This window comes from Homo sapiens, chromosome 10 (genome assembly GCF_000001405.40).
Source record: "Homo sapiens chromosome 10, GRCh38.p14 Primary Assembly".
Classification (NCBI taxonomy): domain Eukaryota; kingdom Metazoa; phylum Chordata; class Mammalia; order Primates; family Hominidae; genus Homo; species Homo sapiens.
The window spans coordinates 20,256,317-20,278,949 of NC_000010.11; the positions used below are offsets into that span (position 1 = coordinate 20,256,317).

At 37.8% G+C, this 22,633-nt stretch overlaps 1 protein-coding gene across 2 annotated transcripts in view, besides 1 other annotated feature; it reads left to right on the forward strand.

Moving 5' to 3' along the window:
- The window catches only part of PLXDC2 (plexin domain containing 2), a 473,425-nt gene that overhangs the window by 439,885 nt on the left and 10,907 nt on the right, over positions 1–22,633 (forward strand). The window lies entirely within an intron of this gene.
- Positions 1,096–1,623: an enhancer, noted in NCBI's record as "OCT4-NANOG hESC enhancer chr10:20546341-20546868 (GRCh37/hg19 assembly coordinates)". NCBI's record gives its function as "activates a minimal SCP1, AML or CMV promoter by ChIP-STARR-seq in naive H9 embryonic stem cells {active_cell/tissue: H9 hESC(naive)}" and the evidence as "EXISTENCE:reporter gene assay evidence [ECO:0000049][PMID:30033119]".

Here is a 22,633-nt window from a genome sequence, read left to right on the forward strand (position 1 = left end):
GAGACGGGATTTTACCATGTTGGCCAGGCTAGTCTCAAACTCCTGACCTCAAATGATCCACCGGCCTCTGCCTCCCAAACTGCTGAGATTACAGGAGTGAGCCACCACACCAGGCCCCCCAAACTTTTTTTTAACACTGAGACTGCACCAAATGTGATTCTTGGGACAGCCTTTGAAGGAGAAATGATATTTGCTTCGTAAAAAGAAGAAAATACTTTCTTTTACAAAAGTAAAATAAATTTGTTATAATTATTAAAATTTATTGTGCCCCTAGATTTGTAATAAGATTTAATCCTCCCAAAAGTGTATCAGATTTTATCTTGTTTAATGTTGGAATTTATGTTATTTCCTTTTTTTTTTTCTCAGTTTTTCCCTTGGTGTTGTCCTTGAAATATCTCACTGTGATCCAGTAGCTTATAAGTGGACTTGAATCCTGAATATGTATAAGTTTAATATGGAGAAAATTTGACGTAGCATGAGAGTAGATACTGAACATTGAATTTAGTCACAAGTAATCTCAAAATGTTTAATTTATTTGTAATTGTGATTGTCAATTCAAAAATTTATCATATTTTTCATGAAAAGCAGGATAGCACTTCTTCAAAAGAAGCAGGGTCCATTCTTGTAGAGGAAAGAGTAAGTACCCCATACTTTTAGAGGATCGTAGCCTCAACTGTGTTCAGTGGAGACTGACTAAGAACAGTAAAGACAAAACTTAGACCAAGGTAGGTGACTTGTGCTGGATGGATCTGAGGAAGGGACGCAAGGATCTCTGGGGAAAAGCTGTGAAGGTACAAATACCAACTCATTGTAAAGACTTTCTGACACTCACAGGTACTCAGAGATGCAACAGGCTTCCTGAGTGATGAGCTCTTCATTACCAGGGTACTTAAGTACACAAGAAGGCCCCATTATCAAGGATTTCTTAGAGGATATTTTGACAGTATATGGGGTTCAACTAGAATTAATTTTAGTTTCACCTGTCCCTATAAATCTAGGGTATTCTGATTCCACAGTATTGTATATGTTTCATGAAGAAGCAAAAACTGCAAAGTGAACTAGAAGGCATGTGTGTGCATACTTACAGTTAATGGAGGAAACTTTTTGTTGTTATTATTGGTAACCCAACGGCAAAAATAAGACACAAACACAAACAACAAAGAAGTCTATAGTTCTCCTATTTAGAGAATAGAATGAGTTAATAATTACAGGAAATGACCACAGCCCTTTTATGAAAGTTGGTAGTATTGGGTAATGTCTCAGATTTCATGCTCAGGTTACTGCAGAGCAAGCAAGGCTCAGGTTTACCTTTAGTGGAAAGTCTGCCTAAAAACAAAAGAACTACTCATTAACATAACAATGATTTAAAATGCCTTAAGCAAATCGTTTTCAATAAGAAGTTACTTGAAACAGAAGAAAGTGACATAGAGCCAGAGATGCAAGGTGCTATTCTTTACTTTCCCTTATGTCCTTTTCACAAATTTCTTTTTTAATTTTTTTAATTTTTAATTTTTATGGCTACATAGTAGGTGTATATATTCACTAACAAATTTCTTAAATTTTTACTAAGAGAATAAATTGATGATTAAATACCCATGCTTTCTGCAAGTAGGTAGGAGTGGCATACTTGGTATTTTCTACCTGCAAATAAGCCTTTTTGTGATTTTCTTTTTTTTCTTTCTTTTTTTTTTTTTTTTTTTTTTGAGACAGAGTTTTGCACAGCCACTCAGGCTGGAGTGCAGTGGCGCTATCTTGGCTCACTGCAACCTCCGCCTCCCGAGTTCAAGCAATTCTCCTGCCTCCGCCTCTCCAGTAGCTGGGAATACAGGCCTCTGCCACCATTCCCAGCTAATTCTTTATATTTTTAGTAGTGATGGGGTTTCACTATGGTGGCCAGGCTGGTCTCAAACTCCTGACCCTGTGACCCGCCCGCCTCGGCTTCCCAAAGTGCTGGAATTACAGGCGTGAGCCACCGTGCCTGCCCAGTTTTCTTTCTATTTCTGTCTTTTCCTTCCTTTCGCCGAAGACTGACTACTCTGAGAGCTTTGGGTATATAGCATGTAAGCTCCAGTTACACAAAATCACTCTTGCTACTTACTCTGTTTCCTTCCCTCTTATACTCGGCCAAACAGTTTTATAGAATTTTTAAGTATTTACCTTCACATTTTTTCCTGAAATTTAAGTTGGCATTTGTTCCATTTCTATTTTATTAGAATCTGTGATCATCAATATCTTTATAGTAAAACTATTGCTGATGGACAAAGTGTTTTTTTCTTCTCACTCGTTCTCTTCACTATAGCAAAGACTTTGTTTAAGTTGAATCCCCTATGTATTCATAAATGATGCAATTCAGTCACATCCAAGATGTGCAAATTTGTTTTCCTAACATAGAAAGGATGGAAAACTTCTGGCCGGGTGCGGTGGCTCACGCCTGTAATCCCAGCACTTTGGGAGGCCGAGGAGTGCGAATCACGAGGTCAGGAGATCGAGACCATCCTGGCTAACACGGTGAAACCCCGTCTCTACCAAAAAATAGAAAAAATTAGCCGGGCGTGGTGGCAGGCGCTTGTAGTCCCAGCTACTCAGGAGGCTGAGGCAGGAGAATGGCATGAACCCGGGAGGTGGAGCTTGCAGTGAGCAGAGATCATGCCACTGCACTCCAGCCTGGGCGACAGAGCGATACTCCGTCTCAAAAAAAAAAAAAAAGAAAAGAAAGGAAAGGATGGAAAACTTCAATCTTAATCAGGATGAGCTAAGAGGAAGCTACAACCACTTAGATAGCTTCTTACCATGATTCTTTATCTCTTATTGATCTCCAAGTTAAAAAATATATATTAACACACACACATATTTATTAATTCATCTCAGCACATAGCAGAACAATTGCCTTTTTTTTCTTTTTAATGAAAGGTGGGTATAATAGTAAAATATTTTAAAACGTTCAGAAACATTTCATTCAGATCAATTTGTTGAAAGATTTTATGGTAATGAGGAAAGTGATTTAACAGTAAATGCAAAAAGAGTCCTTGTCCCTTAAATGTCAAAAGGAATGCTGATGAAAGATTCTGGAATGTTGATAGCAATGAAAGCAGCATAATTATTTTTTTATTTTCTAAAATATCCACATTAAAAACAGAACCATTAGGCATCAGATTTTAGAAAATCTGTGGACAATATTTACAAAAAAATTAGCTGACAGTTTATGGCCAAACTGCAGGCATCAGCTCTAAATACTTCATGTAATAACAAACCGCCCATAGCCACAAGACCTGAATGTTGTTGGGTTTTATGTGAGAGAAAGCAAAGGGAATCCACAAGGTGTCTAGCAGGACTGGAAACAAGAAAAACACAAAGTAAGCCAATACTCATTGCCTGGAAAATACAGCAGGCCCATGTGAGAAGAGCAGCAGAAAGTGAGAGGGGCAAGTGCCCACTCCAGTTGCAGGTGAGTACAGGGGACCTGTGTAAGAATTTCTGAAGGGGCTGGAGCAGTATAGCACAAGGAATTCTCAAAACTGACCTGCCAAGGCCATCTTCCATGACAGTGGCCCACACTAGGAGAAAATCCTGGGAGTAAAATGAATAATGAGTAGGATAGGGACAACAGAGATAAATAAAAAAAGGAAGAAGATTCCTATAAAAGCTGGGGAAGGGAAGGGAGTCGAGAAATACTAAGAAGAAAACCATCGTATATGTCTTAATGATAGCCATCATTTACTTAGCAGATACTCTATATCAGGTACTCTTTTTTATAAATTGTATATATTTAAGGTATACAACAATGACATTTTTGATATACATATATATCCATAGTGAAGTGATTGCTATAGTCAGGGAATTTATCCTATCCATCACCTTCTATAGATATCATTTTTGTGTGATACATGCACCTAAAATCTATGCCCTTAACATATTTTCAGTATACTGTGCAATGCAATGTTGTTAACTGTAGTCCTCATGCTGTCATTAAATCTCTAGACTTATTTGTCGTACATAACTGCAAGTTTGTACCTTTGGGTCTACTTTCTCCCATTTCCCTATTTCCTGCCCTGCTCTGCCCCTGGTAACCACTCTCTGGTTTTATGTAATTGATCTTTTAAAAAATTCCACATGTGATAGACATCATGCAGTATCTTTCTTTCTATGTCTGGCTAATTTCACTTAGCACAGTGTTCTCCAGGTTCATCTACGTTGTTGCAAAAGGCAGTGTCTCCTTTTTTAAGGCTGAATAGTATTTCATTGTGTACATATGCCACATGTTGTGGTATCCATTCACCTGTCGATGGACACTTCTGTTGTTTCCATGTTTTGGCCACTATGAATAATGGTACTATGAACATGGGAATGAAAATACCTCTATGTGGTGTTGACTTCATTTTCTATGAATATATATCCAGCAGTGAGGTTGCTGGGTCATATGGTACTTCTATTTTTAATTTTTTGAGTAAACTTCATACGTTTTCCATAACAGCTGTACCAGTTTACATTTCCCCCAACAATGTACAAAGGTTCCCTCTTCTCCACACCCTTCCCAACACTTGTTATCTCTTGTCTTTTCAATAATATTCATCCTACAGGTGTTAGGTGATTTCTCATTGTAATTTTGACTTCCATTTCCTGAGACAGAGTAATGTTGAGCGTCTTTTCATACACCTGTTGCCATTTTTGTGACTTCATTGGAGAAATGAAATTTTCAAGTCCTTTCTCCATTTTTAAATTGAGTTATTTGGTTTTTTTATATTGAGTTGTGTGAGTTCCTTATATATTTTAGCTACTAACCCCTTACTCAGATAAATGGTTTGCAAATATTTTATCAAAATCCATAGGCTTCCTCTTCATGTTGTTACTTGTTTGCTGTATAGAAGCGTTACAGTTTTATGTAATCTCACTTTTTAATTTTTGCTTTTGTTGCCTGAAGTTTCAGTGTGATATTCAAAAAATTATTTCATGGCCTATATCAAAGAACTTTTTCCCTATATTTACTTCTAGGAATTTGATGGCTTCAGGTCTTGTATGTAGCCTTTTAATCCATTTTGAGTTGATTGTTGTGTGTGGTGTAAGAGAAAGGTCCAGTTTCATCATATTTTTAAAATACAAGAGAATAACAGCAGAACAGAAAACTCATAAAGATACAAATGTTGCTTAAACCAACCTTCCTTCTAAATGTTCAGAAAAGTTAAATTCACACAAAAATGAGCAAAAGAAAATTTTGGACATGGAATCTCATGCAAAAATACTATAATTTAAAAGATAATCTGCCGGGGGTAGTGGCTCATGCTTGTAATCCCTGCAGTTTGGGAGGCTGAGGCGGACGGATCACCTGAGGCTGGGAGTTTGAGACCAGCCTAACCAACATGGAGAAACCCCGTCTCTACTGAAAATACAAAATTATCCGGGGGTGGTAGCGCATGCCTGTAATCCCAGCTACTTGGGAGGCTGAGGCAGGAGAATTGCTTGAACCCGGGAGGCGGAGGTTGCGGTGAGCCAAGATCGTGCCATTGTACTCCAGCCTGGGCGCCAAGAGCAAAACTCCATCTCAAATAATAATAATAATAATAGAGCAAAGAATAATATCCCTACAGACAATGAAATTTTATCAGGAAGACATGCTTTCAAATAATCTAGGAGTGGCCAGCATGGCCAACTAGAAGCAGCCAGTGTGCATGGCTCTGATGGAAAGGAACAGAAGGGATGAGCAAATACAGCACCTTCAACTGAAACATCCAGGTCCTCTCACTGGTTTCCTCTCAAGGAAACAACTTGACCCACAGAGAATGAAGAAAAGCAAGATAGGACAACGGCCCACCTGGGAGCAACCAGAGCCAGGGGATCCTCCCCAACCCAGGGAAAGCACGCTTCTCCCACAGATATTTGCACCCACAGGTCATGAGATCTCCTTGTGAACCCACTCCACCAAGGCCTTCAGTCTTCATTCTGACAGCCAGAGCTATAAGGAGTCTCGTTGCTTATTTGCTCTACAGAAGCTTTTCAGTTTTATGTAATCTCACTTTTTAATTTTTGCTTTTGTTATCTGAAGTTTCAGTGTGATATTAAAAAATTATGCTGCCCAGGCATGTGTGGAGACCCTGGAGCCTTAGATACTTTGACTTTCTGGAAAAAGTAGCTGTAGCCTCGGCAAAGTGGGAGGTTAGACTCCTGTATATACCTCCCTCCAGGCAGCCTCCAGGCTGCCATCTTTGGCACTTTAGCCATTCCAGCCTTCAGGCTTCAGAGAGTCTGAGCCAACCTGGGACAGAAGGAATACCCCAGCAAAGCACAGCTGCTCTACCAAAACGAAGGCCAGACTGCTGCTTTAAGCGGGTACCGAATCCCGTACCTCCCCCCGGGTGGGACCTCCCAACCACAGCCTCTTTGCTGCCATCTTTACTGTTTCATAGTTTTCACTGGTGACACCTACAGGTTCTGAAAAATCTGAGGTGGCTAGGGACTGGCATGGGCCCCAAGCATACCACAGCAGCCTTACAGAAAAGTGGCCAGACTGTTAGGTGGGGCCCATTCCCATATCTCCTCACCAGGCAGGTCCTCCAGGCCTGGGCCTCCAGCCACCTCTTGCCAGATATACTGAGCCATTACCAACTCAGCAACTCCCTGGACAGAGCCTCCAGGGACATCTGAAAGCTCTCTGCTACTGCCTTTGCAGTGGAACTGCCCTTGCCACCCTTGGACTAATGAAGGAGCAAAGACCCTAAGTACCTTATTCACACCTCCAAAAAGCAATCCTGAGCAAAAAGAACAAAGCTGGAGTAATCACATTACCTAACTTCAAACTATACTACAAGGCTACAGTGAGCAAAACAGTATGGTACTGATACAAAAATAGGCACGCAGACCAATGGAACAGAATAAAGAGCCCAGAAATAAGGCCACACATCTACGACCATCATTTCTTTGACAAAGCTGATAAAAATAAACAATGGGGAAAAGACTCCCTATTCAATAAATGGTGCTGGGAGAACTGGCTAGCCATATCCACCAGATTGAAGCTGGACCCTTTCCTTACACCATACACAAAAATCTACTCAAGATGGAGTAAAGACTTAAATAAAAACCAAAAAACTATAAAAACACCTGAAGACAACCTAGGAAATACCATCCTGACATAGAAACGGGCAAAGGTTTTACAACAAAGACACCAAAAGCAATTGTAACAAAAGCAAAAATTGGCAAATGGGATCTAATTTAACTTAAGAGCTTCTGCACAGCAAAAGGAACTGTCAACAAAGTAAACAGTCAACCTGCAGAATGGAAGAAAATATTTGCAAACTATGCATCTGACAAATTTACAAGAGAAAAACAAACAACCTCATTAAAAAGTGGGCAAAGTGGATGAACAGACACTTCTCAAAAGAAGACATACATGCAGCCAAAAAGCATAGAAAAAAGCTGCGTATCACTGATCATTAAAGAAATGCAAATCAAAACAACAATGAGATACCATCTTACACCCGTCAGAATGGCTATGATTAAAAAGTCAAAAAATAACAGATGCTGGTGAGCCAGTAGAATAAAGGGAACCCTTTTTGCACTGTTTGTGGGAGTATAAGTTAGTTCAACCATTGTGAAAATTACTCAAAGAGCTAAAAGCAGAACTACCATATGACCCAGCAATCCCATTACTTGGTATATATATATACCAAGAGGAATATAAAGCATTCTATCCTAAAGACACATGCACTCAAATGTTCATTGCAGCACTGTTCACAATAGCAAAGACATGGAATCAATCTAAATGTCCATCAATGACACACTGGATAAAGAAAATGTGGTACATGTGCACCATGGAATATTATGCAGCCATAAAAAAGAACAAGATCATGTCTTTTGTGGGAACATGAACGAAGCTGGAGGCTATCATCCTTAGCAAACTAATGCATAAACAGAAAACCAAATACTGCATGTCCTCACTTATTAGTGGGAGCTAAATGATAAGAACTTATGAACACAGAGAAGGAAACAATAGACACTGGGGTCTGCTTGAGGGGGAAGGGTGGAAGGGAGAGGAGCAGAAGAGATAACTATCAGGCACTGGGCTTAATGCCTGGTGGATGTAATAATGCCTACAACAAATCCTTATTACATGTGTTTATCTGTGTAACAAACTTTCACATGTACCCCCAAACATCAAATAAAAATTTTTTAAAAAATCTAATAAAAACGCTAAGGAACTATTTTAAAACTAGCTAAAAAGCATAAAGAAAGTCATTTAAAAGATGAAAAGAACAACCCAAATTAACATTAGAACAACCAAAAAATGAAATAGATGTGAGAATTAGAAATACAGAAAAAAATAATAATTTTGAAAATAAAAAACTAGAATAATGGAAGAGTAAATAAACACAATTCTTAATGTATTACAAGAAATAAAAGGTTTAAAAGTAGATTTTTTAATTGAAAAGAATTAAATCAGATAAAAATATTTGAGAGGTAATGCAAACATTTAAGTTTGTCAAAGAAGCTTCAACATCTGGATAATAGGAAAGAAAAAAACCAAAGCAAAAGAAAAATAAGCCACAAACTAAAAAATGTTTAGTTCTTGAAATTTAAAAAAGTAAATATTGAAAGAGCATGCTGTGTACCTGAGATTATTTACCCAAAACAACGAGCATTAAGACTTATTCTAGTAAGGTCGCTGGATGATATTAAAGAAAAAAAAAGTTTTGTGCACTTAGATAAAGAAAACACTTGAATTATAAGCATATCTGAATTAGACAATCATGAAGTTTTTAACAGCAACATTTTGTGCTAGAAAGAAAATAGAGTAACCATGTGAAAGGATGGAAAATGTCAGCCAAGAATTTATATCCAGCAAAACTGACCATTGAGTAGAAAGGGCATAAATAAATTATTATCCATGTGGAGGAACTCTGCCAATGTTCTTTCCATGAGTTCTTCCTGAAAACTCTTTCCGAGATGAGCTTCAGATAAACAAAATGACCAGAAAGACATCATACAAGCACTGGTGGAATCAGTGCAGCCATCTGCCAGAACTCAGAATGCATGCATACATTTTTGCCTTATGACTATCCTTTATGCATTTGAAGGTAGCTACTGCTGTAACACACATCTCATATTTCAGCTTGCTTCATTTGGCAACAAACATTTTGGAAATGTCTGGAACATGCTTACAGCTTTTTTTATGTGTGTTACTCCATCTATATTTATTAAACAGCAATTGGTAATTTACACATATACATGCACATTCTAAGCTCTCATTTATTGAATGTTAAAATAATAATAATGTTTCCGGGGATAATACTACATATCATTTAGTATTGTATATATTGGCATATAAAGTACTAGATACCTCATAGTTATAATCTCTGAGCCTCATGTAAGTCATTAAAAAGATATAGATATTTGTAGAAGAGCAGGCTAACTACTTACTATAATTCATGTTCCCAATTCTAGAGTAGAGGGTTGTGACTGGAAAGTAGTTGCACAATTAAAGATTATCTTTTTCAAACTCTCTTACACCCAAAGATGGGCAGGTGACTACTTGTTACTCCAGAAAGTCACATTTAAGCCAAGGCTTTTGACAATTACGTGTGCCTTTGCCACACCTTCTTTCCTGCCCCACCAACGGGATATACGGTCCCCGGAGAATGGAAAAGTCAAGATGGAAGAACTGGGATCCACACATGGAAAGAAGTTGCCTCCCTGTAAGGAATACTGGTCTTGGACTATGATATGAGCAAGAGATAAACTTCTACTTTATTATACCATTGAGAAAATTTTAAAAGGGATTATTCACATAGAAAATAGTCACCATCCAGTGCACATAAGGTCACATAAGACGTTTATTAGAGTAATGAGAAATCAGGGAAAATCAATGGACTGGGTGTGTTTTAGCAAACAACATAATGACATTTGAATATTTCTTTGTTTAGAAAAAGTGGTTTATAGAAAGAGGACCAGGTGGATTAAAAACCATTGAAAATTTTGAGCAAAGTAAAATCAAAGGCAGATTAAGATTATCAATATATTTATAGTGACTAACCCAAATGTAAATTAATGAAATTGTTGGGGAAAAAAAAAAAAACGTAATGACAGAAAATGATACAAGAACAATTGTTGTTTATTGAAAATTACAGCAGTACCCAAAAAGGGAAAACAAAATGAAATACATTTTTAAAATCTAAATAATTATATTTTTGGACTTAAATTTTTACTCCCAATCAGTAAAAGCTATTTAGCAGAATATATTTAGGATAACTGAAAATTTAGTATATGTCTATTTATTAAATGAAACAATTCATGGTGTTTCAGTGAGAAAAGTAAATAACCGGAGATTAGGAGATTTAGAATTCTTTTTCATTTGTTAGAGTAGGCAGAACTCTGGTTAATAGGTAGAAATGACTGATCAGTTCTCTTCTAAGAACTGGCTTTAAAACTAAATCGAGAGACTTTCCTTGTTGAAAATATCATCTTATTCTTGGTGAATTCTAATAACAATATAGGCGCTCCAGAGAACAACATTATCTGTCTCATTTCATCGTTTTTATCCCCAAGGGCAAGCACAATGCTAAGTAAATATTTGCTGAATAAATGCGTTATCTAAAATAATCCAAGTGTAACTTCAATAAACAAACAGCATCATGAAATGACGGAAAGTTAAGAGTTAGCAGAGAACTTAAGGAAACATCAAACGAAGTCATTTATAACTTTTTGCATTATACGTCTCACCTAAAGAGACATAAAACTCTGTTTTCCCAAAAGAACATTTGTATGCTTGAAAAGATAAACAACTCTTTAAATTACAACATTGATTTGATGTGCTCAGACATTTTTATACAAATCTTATTAGAAATGTTTTAGTTGAATCATTCACAGTATGATTTAAATGCATAAAGCGAAAGTGGTGTGATTGATAAATAAATATTCGCCTTTTAAAAATTATTATGATGTAGTGTTTAGTTGTTAAGGCTGACTGAAGGCCATAGCTTCTTACTAAGTAGAGAATCAGTATCTATCCTCTTTCTTATTTTATATATAAGAACATGGAGAATATGAGATAAGAATTGACTTGCCATAGGCCTTAGTGCTTAACAGAAGCAGAATCAGGAATCAGTAAAATGCAGCAGGAAGAAGATAGCACCAAGAAGGCAGCAGAATTTGCAAAAATTCCAGCTTTTACTAACTATGTGATTCTGGTCAATCCTGAACCATTCTATGTAACTCAACCAGGAGCTAAAACCAAATTTGCTGACTCTCCCAAGCAGCCTTCAACTTTGTTAAAAGTGCTATTTTAAACACCAGTCGGTTTCAGGCAAAATTTGAGGGATTCCTTTATTTCCCACTCCTACACAATTTTCTTGAGCTATTGTTAAGTTATCCAAATGAAAAGAAGAAGGGAAAAAGAACAAATGACCTAAATAATTCACAAACCATATTATCAAACCCCTGAGTATTATACCATTGACTACAAAACAAAACAAAACAAAAACAAAAGAAGTTATTTTTATAGGTTCTAATTGTTATATCTCAGTCATCTTGCTTTTTTATCTTTTTTTTTTTTATTTTTGAAGTGTTGCAAACAGGATTACTTCCAGAGCTATCATCTGGCTCACATAATATCATTACCATGGTTATCAGCACTTCCTTATCACAGGATGAATGCAGTCCACTCTCAGGAAAGCTTCTGTGGAGGTTACATGAATCTGTGTAAAGGACAGTAATGAATATCACTGGAGCCCTAAGTAAGGAATGATTAAACACTGTTATTAGTCAGTTATAACATTGTATGACAATATAATTACAAATGTATCTGTAAAGCCTCTACAATTGATCCTCTAAATTACATATTAACTTTTATTTTCCTGCTACACTAATACTTTATTGTTCCTTTTTTCAGGGTCATAATTATATTTTTATTTCAACCTCTGAATTGATTTGACACGTGACAGTATGTGCCCAAAATTGCAAAATAAGTAAATCAAGTTCCTCAGATTTAAAAACATACACCATTTTGGATACTCATTTTTCAATGTAGGACCTTAAATAGGTAAAAAGTTTGTTATCTGCCTTTTAAAGTTTCTTTAAAACTTTTAATTTTATTTCAACATATACAGATTAAAAACATATGATGAAACTGGTCATATATGTAAGTGTGGTTTTGCCCTAGTTTGACTGATAAGATCACTCTGTAGCTTCAAATGAATAGTGTCCACTCTTGGATTTGATGACATAAATCATTCTCTTGTGTTGTTTCTTAATCATGTGATTAAATATGGAGTAAAGCACACAATTACTTTAGGATAGAAAATAACTCACCATTAACCATTCCTAGGGTCACTGCTGATTAGACCTTAACTTGCCAGATTTCTTGAGCTTCACTTAGAAATACACTGGCACTCCAGACACAAGTAACTTGACAAGAACAATTTCTTAAGGAACACAGCCAGTCTGTTGTAGGGAGGCAGCACTAACTCACATTCAACTTTCATTAGAATATTTATGACCAGTGCAGCACTATCTTGTCTTTTAACTCAGTCACCAGGCAGCGGTGAACTGGCTTGTTTTCACACCTTCTGCAAAGTACTTTTCTTTAGAGTAGATTGCCTAATAGCAAATTATTACATGATTTGGGTAGAAAATAACCACTTGTGGCAATGTGGCTCAAAAAATAAAGATATGCTGCTTAAAGCATTATTAACATATTATGAACTAAGGCTAATGCTGAAGAAGATTAGAATATTCTTAGCTGGTATCACAGAAAATTAGTCAAAACCAAAGAATCTGTGCAGTATACTCTGCTAGAGTCTCTTACATTTACAGGGGGGTATAACTAAGGTAAACATACATTCCACTTTGCCAAGAACTATTCTGTATATGTCTGTTGTCTGATATAATTATTAATAGTTTCTCCATTTATTCTCAAAAGTGTCCTGATTTGGACAATAAATCATATGCTCATCCTATGTGTAATTATATTTTCCAGCTTAGTATGCATCTAAAGACAGAGGACACAAAAATTTTAAGGCCAAACAGCCACATAAGAATTCAGTAATAATGAAAGGAACATCAAAGATATGATCAATATTGAATAAAGGATTCCGTCAAATGCTATAAAATACTTAGAGAGAGAGAATCAGGAGGAATCTCATTAAAGACATGGTATTTGTGCAGGGTTTTGAAAGGGTGCTATGTTCTGGCTAAGCAGAGAGGAAGGGGAGATACCTTTTCAGATGGAATGGGGATATATTATGATTTTAAAAACATATCAAGAAAGGTCAAGATGAATCAACTTATTTAACTATGTGTTAATATCTATGGGCAAATATTGAAAATGGCTTTACTATAGATGGAAGATATGGTAGGCTTTGAAGGACAAACCACAGAAGCTAACTATCATTCTACAAGCAGCGAGAATCAGTGATGTAATAAAGAAGTAGGTGTTTGGGCCTGGCATGATGGCTCACACCTGTGATCCCAACACTTTGGGAGGCAGAGGCAGGTGGATCACTTGAGGTCAGGAGTTCGAGACCAGCCTGGCCAACATGGTGAAATCCCGTTTCTATTAAAAATACAATAATTAGCCAGGCATGGTTGTGCGTGCTTGTAGTCCCAGCTTCTTGGGAGGCTGAGGCAGGAGAATCTCTTGAACCCAGGAGGTGGAGGTTGCAGTGAGCTGAGATCACACCACTGCACTACATCCTAGGCAACAGAGACAGGCTCCATCAAAAAATAAAATAAAATAAAATAAAATAAAATAAAATAAAAAAGAAGTGGGAGTTTAAAATGGTTGTGGGGAAGGAGTAGAGAGTGAGCCAGAAGAAGAGTGAAATGATGGTCCCAAGGGAGTTAGAAGACTATTGGTAGTCTATACGTGAAGTGGTTGCTGAGAGCTGAATTGGGGTATTTATAGAGGGACAAGAATGAGGCTAATACAGGAGCCATGTGAAGGAAGAGGGTAGAATTTAGCAATCTTTGTTTGCGTAAAGGTTTATATGTGAAAGGGTTTTCAATCAGTTATATTCGATTCCCAGTACTCCCCAGTGAGCTCAGTAAATATAGAATTGTTAGATCCCTGTTTTACGGTTAGGATGACTGAGATTCCAAGAAAGTAAGCAATTTCTGAACGTTTCCTATATCAAATTAGTGGTAAAGGTGAGGAGGATGCCCTGATTCATTACATTGAATATGTAGGATGAAGAAGGATCAAAGATAACTTCAAAGTCCAGAATCTGAGCAACTGAGAAATTGAATTTTCTTTTCTTTTTTTTTTGAGACAGAGTTTTGCTCTTGTTGCTCAGGCTGGAGTGCAATGGCATGGTCTTGGCTCACTGCAATCTCCGCCTGCCAGGTTCAGGTGATTCTCCTGCCTCAAACTCCCAATTAGCTGGGATTACAGGCACCTGCCACCACACCCTGCTAATTTTTGTATTTTTAGTAGAGACGGGGTTTCACCATGTTGGCCTCAGGTAATCTGCCTGCCTCAGCCTCCCAAAGTGCTGGAATTACAGGTGTGAGCCATCGTGCCCTGCCGAAATTGAATTTTCTAATGACAGAATTAAAAACATCAGAAGGCTTAGTTTAGGAAGGAAAGTGACAGGATGGATTTTAGGCAGGTTTGGTTTGAGCTGATGGTCAAGAAATTGGGTATCTTAAAAAAAAAAAACTGGAAAAAAAAAAGGAATGGATATGGGTAAACAATCAGGTGAGAAAATATGGAACTAGTAGTAGAAGTTGAAACCCAAGAGAATAAAGAGTTGGGTCTTGTCAACACGAAACCTTAGGACGTGTTGACAGTTAATGTTGATGAATCAGAAAAGGGGACCGTTTAAGACAAAAAACAGACACACACACACACACACACACACACACACACAAACAGAGCAAGATGCAAGAAAATATACCATCCTAGAAAGCCACAAAACGGAAAGCGTCAAGATTGAAGAGACAGGCAGCAGTGTAAAGTGCTCTAGAGGAGTCACAGAAGATGTTGACAGCTAAGTCATTGATAACCTTAGAGAATGCAGTTTTAAAGCGGGGAGCAGGCACTGAGGGTGAAAAATGGTTTTGTACCATGAAGGCAATTGATGGGGCCAGACATTTCAGAGAGATATAGTATTGAGAGTTCAAAGAAACATCAAGTAAACGCTTTTTCCTGATGTTTGGTGAAAAGAATTCAACAAGAGAAGAGTAAATGAATCACTGACTTTCCAATGGAAATTAGAGTGTGATTCTTTGACACTGGGTGAACCTGAACATGTGACTTTTTTCTCCACTAGTTGGTTCTGTTTAGGATCTGGAATAGAAAAATATAGAAGATAAGGATCTGTGCTGAGGACTGGGGAAACTTACCCAGAATTGATGGTCAGATAAAGGAGAGAACAGACAGTAAGCTGACTGAAGAGGCCCTCTATGGAATGCAGGCTGGCAGGAAGTTAAGTGAAGCCTGGGTGAACTACAGAGGCTAATTAGATGTGATCTTCCACCATAGTGCAGTGCCATGTAATAGCCAGGCTCTGGAGGTAGCAGCTTCGAGGTGAGGTAGGAGAAATGTAGAAGGGATGGAAGTGGATATTACGCTGACTCTCAAATCTCATTGGTTAGCTCCCGTTCAAGTTTTTATGTACAAATATATTATTTTCCCTATAAATAAGATAAATGCCTTATCTTTAGTACTGTTTTACATAAAGTTGTGCAAATACTAATTTTATCGGATGACTGAATGCATTATCACACAGTCATGCTCGGTTTGAACAACAAAGTGGCCAATAGTGGGAAGGGTGCAGGGCTGCTGGTGTCAGAGCAAGAGGGCTACAGGGGAAGGGCCCTTTTTCAGGGGATGTAGCTTTTTAAAAAGATTTGGGAACACTTGGAGGATTTGCTAAAATGAGCCTCAGAAGGAAAATTGGTTTTCTAACCTGTGGCTTTTTGAAATGAATTATTCCTTTCAGTCTTTATTTTTCAAAGAAACAATGTGTATTGAAGTACCTAGATTTGTTTGATAATCAACAAATATTTCCTTTTTAAATGAACATATTCTGAATGTGGTTTCTGTCTTAGACCAGGAGGACAGAGTTTACTTTCATATTTTCCCTGTGAGTAAGAGGGCTTATTTATTTTAAATAAAAAGTAATTATTTAAAAAAATGAAGTCAAAAAAGGAAAAAAAAAATTCAAGAAAGAGAGCTTGTCACCCATGAGTCTGAGTGCCATGCCTCTCATGGCAGCATAAACTATAAATAAGATCTGTGCAAGTGAACACACTTATTGTGAATCTCCCTGTATATAACACTTTGCCAGCCATGGTGGATCAAAGCTATGTGTTCCCAAGTACAGGTAAAAAGGGGTTGCATCATCTTGAGAGAATGGTAAAATTATAATAAAACTGACTCAAATAAAATTGGCTTGTTATTATCACCATGTACTAAAAATTCTAAACTCTGTTAGTGATAAAATATTCCTCCCTGAAAGAAACTTTTGCTGATCTAAGCATTAAAGAGTGGGCTCGCTTACTGTTGAGTTTTACTGACATAATAAATAAGCTTCAAGTTAGTCCAATGTTATCACTTATCCTTTAGTAAACATTGCCTTCCACATGGAAGTTAATTCAGAGAACTCCCAGTAACACACTTGGCTCCCAACAGTGAACTCAGCTACATGCATTCATTTAGAGAATAAAAGTTAATCCGGGTTTGGAATCCATTGCATTTGTTTTGGGCACACTGGTGTCTTCAACCTATATGGTACTTTATATATCTGTGTTAAAATAGTAGATTCTAAACAAAGAATGATAGCATTGTGGTTGTAAAGACGGAAAAACAGAACTTAAGGCACTTCAATTCTGCCATTGCAAGTACAAATCATTCTCTGAACCTTGTGGAATTCTTCATTTGGCAATATGCCCCTTTTCTTTCTTACCAAAAAGTGCATTCATTCACTCTGTTTCCCGTTTTTTATGGCAATATTTTATTTTTTATTTTTAATGATTTTTACTGGCATGATTGTATATCGACAAAGTTCAAAACAAGAAAATCTTCTCGTCTGTGTTCCTTTATAGCCATTATTATTAATTTCCTTTCATGATTATTACTGAAAATAATGCTGTCTTCTAGAGGAGGAGATGTTATGAAAAGGATTCACTCCTGGTGTCAGATAGCTTCAATACTCCACTGCTGTGCATATTTCAGAGTTCACAGAATATGACATCCGACTTCTAGGACATATACATAGAGCACGATATAGATAGATATACATACATAGACACACATATATACATATCATATGTATATATGTATGTTGACTGCATCCCTTCAATCACATGTACAACCACAATATGTGAAAACAATGTGACAAGAGATACTGATAAAATACCAAGAAACATCTGAAACAGCACAGGAAAAATAGAAGTGACTTGTAATCTGTAGGTGGGTATTCAGAAAGTTTGCATGGCCAGGTGCAATGGCTCACGCGTGTAATCCCCACACTTTGGGAGGCCAAGGCAGGAGGATTGCTTGAGGCTAGAAGTTCGAGACCAGTCTGGGCAATGTGGTGAAACCTGTCTCTACTAAATAAATAAATAAACAAATAAAAGTTTAAAAAATATTAGCTAGGAGTGGTGGTGCACTCCTGTCGTCCCAGCTACTTAGGAGGCTGAGGGGGGAAGATCACTTGAGCCCAGGAGGTTGAGGCTGCATTGAGAGTTGATCATGCCACCATACTCCAGCCCAGGTTACAGAGTAAGATACTGTCTCGAAAGAAAGACGGGAAAGGAAGGGAAGGGAAGGGGAGGGGAGGGGAGGGGAGAGGAGGAAAGGAAGGAAAGAAAGAAGGAAGGAAAGAAAACAGAAAGAAAGAAAGTGTTCTTGGAAATATGTGAAATGGATAAATGGATAGTCTTTGCACCTCCCCAGGTGATTTTTATTTTTAGTCAGCTAGACTAAACAGTGAAAGAAAATAATGCACATTAAGTGTTTGCAATGTGTGATTGAAAGATATTTATTCGGCCATTGGAGAATCATTGACTTTGTACTTTAAAGATACTAGCTTTTGGAAAATCACACAAATTGTATGTTTTTATGTTAACCCTAGAAGAGAGCTGATCTGTATATGCTTGGGAACAGTTTTCATCTTGCACATGAACCGACTATGGTTATAACTAATCCTTGAAGATCATCCATAAGACAGTTCTAGAATGAAGGCAACATATCAACGACAGGTAGTAACGGGAGACTAGAGATGAGCTGACGCAGGAAAATAAGGCAACTTCCACACCAGGAAGAATCAAAAGAGGGCGAGCAGAAAATGTGCAAAGATCACCCAGGCTTTGCTTCCCACACGAGCAATTACAATGCTCCTGCTTGGAATTCTCAACCACACCAGAAGACCAACAGATCAATTTGAGTTACTCTTTTTAAGGAAAAAGTGACCTACATTTCATGAAGCAAAGAGATACAGCCACACACAGGAGCCGTTTGTTTTAATTAGATTGCTGGTTTCCCTGGCCAGGACCCAAAACCACTGTGTTTCCCCATAGATACAATTGACAAATAAAATACATGACACTCATGTGAATCAGAATTTCAAAAAAAAAAAAAAGCCATTAATTAGTATATGTCCAATTAAATATATATGTTTAATGACTTGTTTGTTTGAAATCCAAATTTTATGGGTGTGTCATTTATTTGCTAAATCTGGCAATCCAACCTTTAACTTGTTAAGAAATATTCAACACAAAATAAGGAAAATAGAGAAAAAATTGTATTTCAAAGAATGAAATAGAGAGAAAAAAATTCCTTCCCTTGGACAGTCAAACTGTCGAAGCTAAATATTGAAAGGTTGACCTGGGTGCAAAAACAAACCTTCAATTCCCATGAAGGTGTGCCAGAGACACAAGGAAGCCTGAGGTTCAATATTTTTTTTTCTACTGGCTCCTGGAGGAGTTTCTGTTAGAAGAGACCTTAGAAAATCATCACCCTTGCTCTTCGAAATGTGTTGTGTGGATCCACAGCCTCAACATCACCTGGGAGCCTGTGAGAAACACAGACCCCCTAGGCCTCTCTGAGATCTATTGAATCAGGAGCTGCAGTTTAACAAGATCCCTTGTGATTCGTGTGGCCAGGCAAGTTTGAGAAACACAGATTTAGTTCTGTAGTTTCCAAAACACATGTTTTAGAAAGTATAGGATTCATAAACTCCATGAGGGCTCGGGGAGCGCACGCAAGCAAGGAACTGTACACCACAATTAAAGGAGACCGACCCTGTGTGCTTCACTCTGGGCTTCAAGGTAAGATTTTTATTAGAAAACAAAAAGAGTCCACGGCTTAAAAATTAAAAAGGAAGGAAGGGTCGGGCGCTTTGGCTCACGCCTGTAATCACAGCACTTTGGGAGGCTGAGGCGGGTGGATCATTTGAGGTCAGGAGTTCAAGACCAGCCTGGCCAACATGGCAAAACCCTGTTTCCACTAAAAATACAAAAATTAGCTGGGCGTGGTGGCAGGCGCCTGTAATCCCAGCTACTCAGGAGGCTGAGATGTGAGAATCGCTTTAATCCAGAAGGCAGAGGTTGCAGTGAGCTGAGATCGCGCCACTGCTCTCCAGCCTGGCCAACAGAGTAAGACTCCATCTCAAAAAATAATAATAATAAAATTAAATTAAAAAACGGAAGGAAGGGTAGGTTTTTTTGAAAAACAATACTCTCGTTCATTTAGATTCGGAAACTGAGTAACAAGACGTGACTTTCCCCAAGTCCTACACTGGGAAGTGATCCCAGCCTCTTTCTATTCCCTCACTGTTCATGGAGGAAGACAGCCCCAAAATGGCAGAAATTTCTAATCGACTGCTTGACAAGTGCCATTATGTACCACAGGTGTTTTCTATCTGGGCCTTTAATTTCAAAATCAGTCCCTTTTCTTTCATACTCATGCCTGTAACTTCCTTTCAAGGGCTCATCTAACCCAACACAAAACCCTCTCTGTGTTGCTCTCTGAACTGGAAGAAAGGTCTCCAGCTGCGGTTTTGTGTACACTGCTAACTGAGGGTGCCCTCCGGGTTTGTTTGTGGATATTTTAGCTAATTGTCTTGTCGCAGACCTTTGAGTCAGACCTGGATGACTGTTCAATTAGTAGTACTGAAGCAAGAATTAGGGAGAATTCCTGACTGCACAGCCAACCCCAGTGCCAACATTATTGCTGCGAGCATTTTCTTCTGAATATGATTAATCACATAAATAATTCTCAGAAATGAAATTAGAAATCACCCACACACTGCACCCAGTAATGTTTTAAGACATTACATCCTGAAACTCTGTAATGAATTAACATTACAGTCTGGTTTGAGTTCTTCAATTTTCAGCATATATCCTGCCCTGTTAGCGAGTGACCCTGTGGCCTTGATGAGTTTCTGTAACAATTTGAATTAGCCATTCTAAAAAGAACACAGATTTGGAACTGTCTAGGCCTTGAGAAAGAACAACATATCCCTTCTCTGAAATCCCTGGCTGTGCTCAATCATGCTTGCAAGTTTGTGACAGGGCTGGACATGAGGATCAGGTTTTCAGATCCTTCCATCCAAGCCCTTCCCCGTACTCTGGGTAGGTGGCTCCTATTATGGCATAGATGTTAAGGACTTTTCTATGCTAACTAAATATTCAGTTATTCTGTTAAAGAATGTAATTTCAGCACTTTGGGAGGCTGAGGTGGGTGGATCACGAGGTCAGGGGTTCAAGACCAGCCTGGCCAAGATGGTGAAACCCGTCTCTACTAAAAATACAAAAACTAGCCGTGTGCTGTGGTGGGCGGCTGTAATCCCAGCTACTCAGGAGGCTGAGGCAAGAGAATCGCTTGAACCCAGGAGGTGGAGGTTGCAGTGAGCTGAGATCTTGCCATTGCACTCCAGCCTGGGTGACAGAGCGAGATTCCATCTCAAAAAAAAAAAAAAAAAAAAAAAAAAGAGTCCCATTCTTTTCATTTATAAAGAATAATCTGACCACATGCAGACTGACATGGAAAATTAATTTCAGTTAGGGCCGATTTATATAGATTTCCCTTAAATATAGGAATTCTAAAAGTTAGCAGAAGGAGGCAGAAGGGACAAGGATCAGAAAAACCTCAACACAGAAGGTTCTCTTTAAAAATTATGATCTTCTCTCCACTTTAAAGGCAATTATCTCAGGCAAGCAAATATAAAGATCCTAGGGTTTTAGAGGACAAATTAGCTATTATTTCACAGATGAAGAAACAAAGGCCCAGAGAAATCAAGTCATTTATTCACAATCAAGTAATTGCTTTGCAATGTGAGATAACATCTCCTATCTCATTATGAAAGTATTCTAAAAAGAAAGGAGAATTTTGGTGAAGTTGTTACTCTTTGCTTGGCGTTGTTATGACTAAGACTGAGATGTGAAGGGATTATAAAAGAATACAAAATAAGATCAAATGTTTAAAACCCTAGCTACATGACATTTGTTAGATTTGTTTTGCTATCAAATACTAAGTCTTACTCATTTTTCTATTTTTGGGGGGACCCATTAACTATCCCCACCTCCTCCCAACCCTGTCACTACCCTTCCTAGCCTCTGGTAACTATCCTTCTACTCTATCTCCATGAGTTTAATTGTTTTGATTCTTAGATCCCAGAAGTAAGTGAGAACGTGTGATGTTTGTGCCTTTCTGTGACTAGCTTATTTCACTTAAGATAATGATCTCCAGTCCATCCACGTTGTTGTGAATGACAGGATCTCATTATTTTTAAGGCTGAAGAGTACTCCTTTGTGTTTATGTACCACGTTTTTTTCATCCATTCATCTGTTGATGGACACTTCAGTTACTTCCAAATCTTGGCTACTGTGAACAGTATAGCACAATGTCTTTATGTAACTGTAAATTCATGCTAGGTGGCAGGGTTGTTCTTGCTACCAACTAGCCTTGGAAAGGTGGCATTTCAGAACAAAATCTCATTGGTGCTGCTTGCCCAGGGAAGCTGTAGCTTTGGAGAAGCTCAGCTGTGAAGTCACTAAAACCAGAGTTGGGGCTATAAGTAGTGAGCACTGCAACATGTCATCTTTACCCTACAAACAGGCATAACCATGAGTTGTGGTACCCACCTCCCTAGAGGTGCTTAGTATGTTTCCATTGTTGATGATTTCAGCCCCACCACAGACACGTTGTTTTGCTGTGTGGCCCTCTCTTTAGTTTTAAATTCTTCTTTTGGAAAATAGGGATAATTCAGTTCCACTTAATGGAACTTAATCAGCAAATAAATTTACGGCATTCTGACCACATAATGTTATAGAGATAGCACTTAATATTATTAGTAGGCAGAATGTAATTACCTTCATTTTTTTTTACACAATATAGAGCTAATAGTCATCCCTACCTGATGTGAAAAACTTTCACAGCCATTAACCATCGACATTGGCATGTAATTGGAAAATCTAGAAAGATACCAAATGCCAGTATATGTACACTGACATATAACCTGTTTTACATTAGAATTCTTTAGATAGAAATGAACTTCCTTCAATATTTATCATCTTATTTAGCCCAAAATTGCAGGCACTTTGAAAAATGGAGTAATAGTTTCTAGTGTCACTATGGCTGTGAAATGCATTTTAGTGTCTTTTGCTTTGATAACCCAGTAATTCATTTCAGTACATCTATTTGTAA